The 6954-nt window shown below is 35.3% G+C and overlaps 1 annotated feature.

Annotated features, from left to right (window-relative positions):
- Nucleotides 5363–5422: an enhancer, noted in NCBI's record as "active region_10136". NCBI's record gives its function as "activates an Ori minimal core promoter by ATAC-STARR-seq in GM12878 lymphoblastoid cells {active_cell/tissue: GM12878}" and the evidence as "EXISTENCE:reporter gene assay evidence [ECO:0000049][PMID:35858748]".

Genomic DNA, 6954 nt, shown 5'->3' with positions numbered 1-6954 from the left:
ATAATAGAGAAATGTAGCAGTAATAACAGTACTATGATAATAGTATTAACAATATTATTTTAAACACAGACCATATTCAATTGTCTCCAAAATAACTTTTATAGCATTTTAAAAATCAAAATTCAGACACTGAGTTTTACTTTTGTGTGTCTTATTCATTTTTAATCTATGAATGCCCATGTATATATATTTACAGATACATATTTCTTTTTACAACCTAATTATTTACTTTTGCATATTTAATTGGTTTTGGACTGAGGACTACCTATACTTTGTAATGTGTGGAATTTCTCTATTTGTAGATTCTTAACATACACCCAATAATGGGAGTTTGAGTTGTTAGTTCTTGTTCTTATTATTTTTTTTTATTTTCTGTGTGGTTTCCAGGAAGGGAAGTAAAACAATTAAAAACTAACTTGGAGATGGAGTTTTTTTTTTCCACTTAGGATATAAAAACAACACACTGGAAAGTCATTCCCATCTTAACCATGAAAAATAGCTGACAAATCTTCAAAATCACCACTTTGATCCCATCAAAGAGCTGAGATCATTATCCCAACAAGTGAATTGAATTCCAAAGAATAGGAAGACTCTCCAAAGAGAGAGAAAACACTACTCTTTTATCTTTGGATAACCACAGGTAAAAGAAGTAGTCTCCATAAAAGCATGTAAAAATAAAGTAGTTGAAATTTTTATAAATTATTAAAGGACAAGTGTGGGTTAATGTTACAGTTTAGAGTAACTAGTAACACTGGACACAGGGGAGTCTGTACTCACTTAAAGTTCCTTTTCATCTGCCTGTACTGGGTACTCACAACACATACTGGGGGCAGAATAGGAGACTGGAAATACAAATGACCCACTTATTGGTTCATTAGGGGTTATTGACTGCTGCTGATGGAAGGCACAAAGTCTCTTTCAATACCTTGAATGATTATCTAAGCACAAGTTTTTAAGTCACTGAGTGAGGAAGAGGAATCCTACTTTCTAGCCCCTGGGCCTGGGTAAAGCTATTGATTCTGGTGGAGAAGTAGAAATAAAAGCCATATTTCCCTGAGGGAAAGGCAGGAAGCCATTTTGAATCCAGAATTCTGCACAAATAACAATTAGAGTTTGAATAATACTGGATATGGACAGGACATTCTCTGGCTTGAGACCTCCACAGATACAGGACAATTTGGTTGCCATGGGAGAGAGGCAAAAATGCTGAAAAAGGCTTACCCTCAAGGTACACCGGCGCTGCATAAGACTGAGTCTGAAGCAGGAGGATATATAACCACCTCTAGTCCCCTACAATGAGCCAAGAATGGAGTCATGAGCACTAGCTGTCTACTACTGAAAGAGGGGCAAGAGTTTAGAGAGACTCCCCTGTGACAATTGTATGTGGAGACTACTAATAGCATTCCACAATTTCAGGGCTTTAAATCTGTAGTGCCTTGAGGGTAACTATAGCAAAAAAGTGAAATTCAGCTTAATCTCTTACTAGATTTACTCAACATCTCAAAGTAGTGGCCAAAGAAAAGATGTGCCAAATTATGGTTTTAATTATTATTTACCTCAGTCTCTAATTTTTTGTTGTTTATAGAGAATGTCTGCTCTTCAATAAAACCTATGATACATCAAAATTAACAAATAAACACTATAATTACCCATTTTAAAAGATAAGGCATTAACAGAAACGAACTTAGAGACAGCAGAGACTTGAAAATAACTGTAAATAATATGTTAAAGGGTCTGGCATGATGGTTGATAATGTGAATGAAGAGGTGGGGTATTTTCATAGAAATAGAAAACTGTTTAAAATCAAATGAAAATCCTAGAAATAAAGAAATAGATAACAGAAATGAAGACTTTTTTGACAAATATACCAGTTTACTAGACACATCTGAAGAAAGGATGAGTTACCTTAATGACAGGTCAATAGAAATTATTCAACAGGGTTACAAAAAGAAAACAGAATAAAAAACAAGCAAAATATCCAAAAGCCATGAGAAAATATAAAATGATCTCATGTACATATAATTGTCTTTCTGAAAGAAAATGAGGGACATACTGGTCAGAGAAAATATTTTAAAAGGTGACAACTGAGAATTTCCCCAAATTAATGAAGAGATTTAAATCACAGATTGAAGAATCCTAGAAAAGCCCAAGAAGGATAAATATAGAAGAAAAAAATAGACATTTAAGCCAAAGTGATGAAAATAAAAAATGAAGTAAAAATCTTAGCCAATTAGAGATAAAATAAAACATACAGAGTCACATATATAAGCAATGCAGCAGACTTCTCATTATAAATTATGCAAGCCAGAAAGCAATGGAGTCATATTTTTAAAGTACTGAAAGAATTAGAACCCTGTGTACAGTAATAATGTTTTTCATAAATGAAAACAAGTTAAATACTTTTTTTTACACCAGGCGGGGATAAATTTCTTGCCAAAGGCCTGCACTACAAGAAATGCTAAAGGAAGTTGTATAGACAAGATATTACATGAATATTCGGATTCAAAAAAATGCCAGAAATAATATAAATGAGGTTAAATATATATAAACATAAGTGAATCTGAGGACATGACTAAATTGCTGCAATCTCATGATAAAGCTTTAGTGGATGATGAGTTGCTTCTTACAGATGAGCAAAGAACATCGTTTCTGAGATGGAACATACAACTGGTACAAATGCTGTAACACAGTTGACATGACAACAAAAAAATTAGACTATCAGATAAATTTAGTTAATCAAGCAGCAATAGGGTTTGAGAGGATTGATTTCAATTTTAAAAGAAGTTCTACTGTGAGTAAAATGCTATCAGACAGCATCACATGCTACAGGGAAATCTTTAATGAAGAATGTCAATTGATGCAGCAAACTTCATTGTGTGATTTTAATAAATTTCCACAGCCACCCCAGACTTCAGCAACCACTGCTCTGATCAGTCAGCAGTCATCAACATCAAGGCAAGAACCTCCTCTAGCAAAAATATTACAACTTGCTGAAAGCTCAGATTATTCTTAGCATTTTCAGCAATAAAGTATTTTTAATTAAGGCATTTTTTAGACACAATGCTATTCCATACTTAACAGACTGTAGTATAGTATAAACAACTTTTATATGCACTAGGACACCAAAAAAAGTGTAATTCACTTTATTGTGATATTCACTTTATTTCATTGGTCTAAACTGAGCCTGCAATATCCCTGAGGTAAGACTATAACTTTAATAGCTGTGATATATCTTTTTTTTTTTTTGTTAATTGGTCAGATTTCCTGGTTCTTTGTATACTGAAGAACTTTGATAGTATCTTAATAATTTTGAATAATATGTTATGAGATGTTGGAACCCATTAAGATCTATTGGATAATTTTAAATTGTTCTTCACCTGTGAATTAACCCATTCTGCCTTGAACACAAATTCTGTTTCACCCTCTTTGGCTAGCTGTTCCAATATCAGTTTTGTTTTCAAAGGCTTTGCTATTCTGAAGGTACCAATCAAAATTTCAGCTAGGACTTGGGTGGTAGTTATATTTTAGTTCAGCTCTCAAAATGTTTGCTATGCTTCTTGGATTTGATCTTGCTTTTGCAAGAGCTTGGGAAGAAAAGCAGGAATTTTAGTCAGCTTATATACATAGTTAGAGTACTTCCTCTCTTCTTCTCAGTATTTCCCACACATTCTCTAGTTTTAAAAGTCCCCTTTCCCAGTCTCTAGCTAGAAGGTCAGTTTTTCTCTCAGAATTTTAGCCCCTGCACTGATACCAATGGGGAGAAGCAGCAATAAGAAGAAAGAGAAAAGGAATGTATATTTCCCCCATGTTCTCCACACAGCATGGACCCCCTTTCCTGGTTCTGTATCCAAACTGATGGGTTTCCTCTCAGTGTTTTAGATTCCCTCTGAACCAGCTATTCCATTCAATTGAACAGGAGGTCATGAGAGTAATTCATATGAATATTTACTCTCTTTTTAGTAGGGAATCAAAATGCAAGCAGCGTAATATTTACCTATCTTAAAATAAGCTGACTTCGAAGCTATTATAAGAATATATTCCTAACTATGAAATTCTGTCTTACTAGTGAGGCCCACGAATTTCCCATCCAAACCATCAAGATTTGCTTCAATGTTTAGTAGGTTCTTTCTACTTAAGTTATCTAAAAATGTGTGAAATACTGAAGGCTTTTGCTAGAGAAACATTTAGAATTGCTTAATAAATTTTATTTTAGGGCACTTAAAGATCAATATACCATTTTGAATTAATTGTTCATACAGTGCTAAAGATTTTCCATCATATATTTCTTATGTTAATATTTATTTTTGCTAATGTAGACCAAAGGTTGTACTAAGAACTGAATTTGGATGCTTTTATCCATCATGTTAGAGCGATGCATAAGCACAGTTTCTTTGCTATTAAAATTAAAATGTCCCATTATACGGTATTTATGCTATGGGTGTTCTTAGTAAAGTGGAATTTTTATATTATGTCATTAAAATGAATATTAAAGTGGTACAATGGCAAAATATAGATTTTCATAATTCTTTGGCATAGAGAAATTCTAATGTGGAAATACAAATGGAGTACAATAGAAAGACCTGGATTGAAGTCTTTGATTTAAAAGGAGGGCCACGTAGTTTTTAAAAGATACAGTTTAAATTCCTTTAACTCTTTCATTAATTAAAGCGATGAAATAAATAGAGTTTCTAAATATTATTACTATCTCTCTCTTTTTTTTTTTTTTTTTTAAGACAGAGTGGGTCTCGCTCTGTTGCCCAGGCTGGAATGTAGTGCTGCCATCATAGCTCACTGTAACCTTGAATCCCTTGGCTTATCCGATCCTCCTACCGCAGTCTCCAGAGTAGCTAGGACTACAGGCATGTGCCACCACAGCTGGTAAATTTTAAAATATTTTCTAGAAATGGGGCCCTTGATATGTTGCTCAGGCTGGTTTCAACTCCTGGCCTCAAATGATTCTCCTGCTTTGGCCTCCCAAAGCATGGGAATTACAGGCATGTGCCACCACATTGGACCTATGACTGTCTTCTTATACATTTTTTCCAAATATTGTATTCATGAATAACATTGAACAGCTGGCCATCATTCATTGTTCTCCCTTTCAGGTAAGAACATTCCAGCTTTCTTTTGGAAAAACCAATGCCGTTTTGGTGTGATTCAGCTCCTATCTAGGGAAGTTTTCTCAAACTTTCAGCATACCAGAAATACCTGAAGTGCTGGTTAAAACACATATCGCTAGGCCCTACCCACAGAGTTTCTGATTCAGCAGGTTCCAGGCGAGGCTTGAGAATGTGCATTTCTAACATGGTCTCAAGTGAAGCTGATGCTGCACATCTAGGGACAACACTTTCAGAAGCACTCATCTAGAGTAAATCTCTTTATTTTCTTATCACTGGGTAGTGGGTTCCTTCTGTATCACCTGTGAGCCATCATAGACTAGGCCAGTATAATATTCTCCATGCTGAATCAGAAACACACAGCTATGAACTGAGGATATGGTATTGCCGTTTTGAAACACGGGTGGCTGTTGATTAGAAACCAAAACTTAGTCAGTTGTGCATTGTGGTCAGAAACATAGTAATAGCAAACGGCTTATGTCATTTGCTTATGGGATAAGCCCTGTGTTCCTCAGAAGTCTCTCTCTTCGACCAACATCATTTTAGTCCTCAGGATACAAACTGGGTACTTTGGCCTCCAGGAAGTCTTCCTTGATTTATCCCTCCCTCAAGCTAAGCTGCAGATCACTTCTTATTGCTCTCAAGACACTCTGTGAACATAGGCATCATTGCATTTTGCTCATTTTTTAAAACAAATATCTTTTTATGCATCTGTTGACTTCATTGGATTTTCTTTTGCCCTCAAAGACCATTTCTTATGAATCCTTTAACCCCAATATTTTAGACAAAACCTTGAAAGAGTGGTTGGCATCTGATAACTTTTTTTGAATAAAAGAAAGAGATTAATGATAGATGATGTGTGAAAGGGAAACTCAAGGAGTAGCCCATGCAAGATGATTTCCTGGGACAGTGGGTGTTTGCACCAGCACTTCATAAACTCACATGAGTCTGCACACGAGAAGTTATTGTCACCACAGCCCTTTATTCTTTTCAAGAAAGTGTCCATGTGCTTGCAACTTGTACAGAGAATGACAAATAAAACGCTCAAGGGGATAAGAGGCGATAGACTGGAAAATTTAAACTCTAGCTAGAAAGACACAAGCTGAAGGGGAACATGTCAGAAGTTTAAAATTCATTGAACACATGGATAGGAGAAGGTATATTTATTTAACAAACCCAGTAAAATAAGCTAGAATTGGACGTTTCCTTGGGGATTTAAGAAATTACATTAGTGCATATTTTAAAAAAGAAATATTACCTTGCATAATGATGAACACATTGCACATTCATCCTCTACCTACATTTTTGTTCCTACTGTTTTGTTCTGTTTGATCATTCTCCCCCTTTAAACTCGAAGCCACATTTCAACACTGCCAAGTGGCAGACCAATTACCTGAACTCACCTCTGTTCCTGCTCCAGCCTGGAGTGATCTCTTCCTCCACTGAAACTTATACAGTCCACACTAATGATCAAAATCCTGCCTTATCAAAACACACAAACATTTGTGAGCTGTGTACTGTCTTCAACTAGACTGAGTTATTTGATGTCACATATGAGAAATGGCAAATTAGATGCATTTTGCGTGCTACTTTTCACCAAATGGAAGTGGCTGCCTAAAGTCCTGTGATGAGAAGGATGCTGAGGGCATGTCTGGGCTTGATAAGAAAGAGTTTAAAAATCTGAGAATTGTATGTGGAAGGAGGAAATGGCATTATGCATGCCAGATATGATATTGTCATCAAGGTATCCCCAAAACTGATAGGACAGAGTTAGGCACAGAGAAAGACATATTACTCAATAAGTTTAATGAGTAAATGAAAACAAATATAATATTTA

The sequence above is a fragment of the Homo sapiens genome, chromosome 15 (assembly GCF_000001405.40).
Source record: "Homo sapiens chromosome 15, GRCh38.p14 Primary Assembly".
Taxonomy (NCBI): Eukaryota; Metazoa; Chordata; class Mammalia; order Primates; family Hominidae; genus Homo; species Homo sapiens.
The sequence above is the reverse complement of the archived record's forward strand: the minus strand, read 5'-3'. Positions and strand labels throughout refer to the sequence as shown.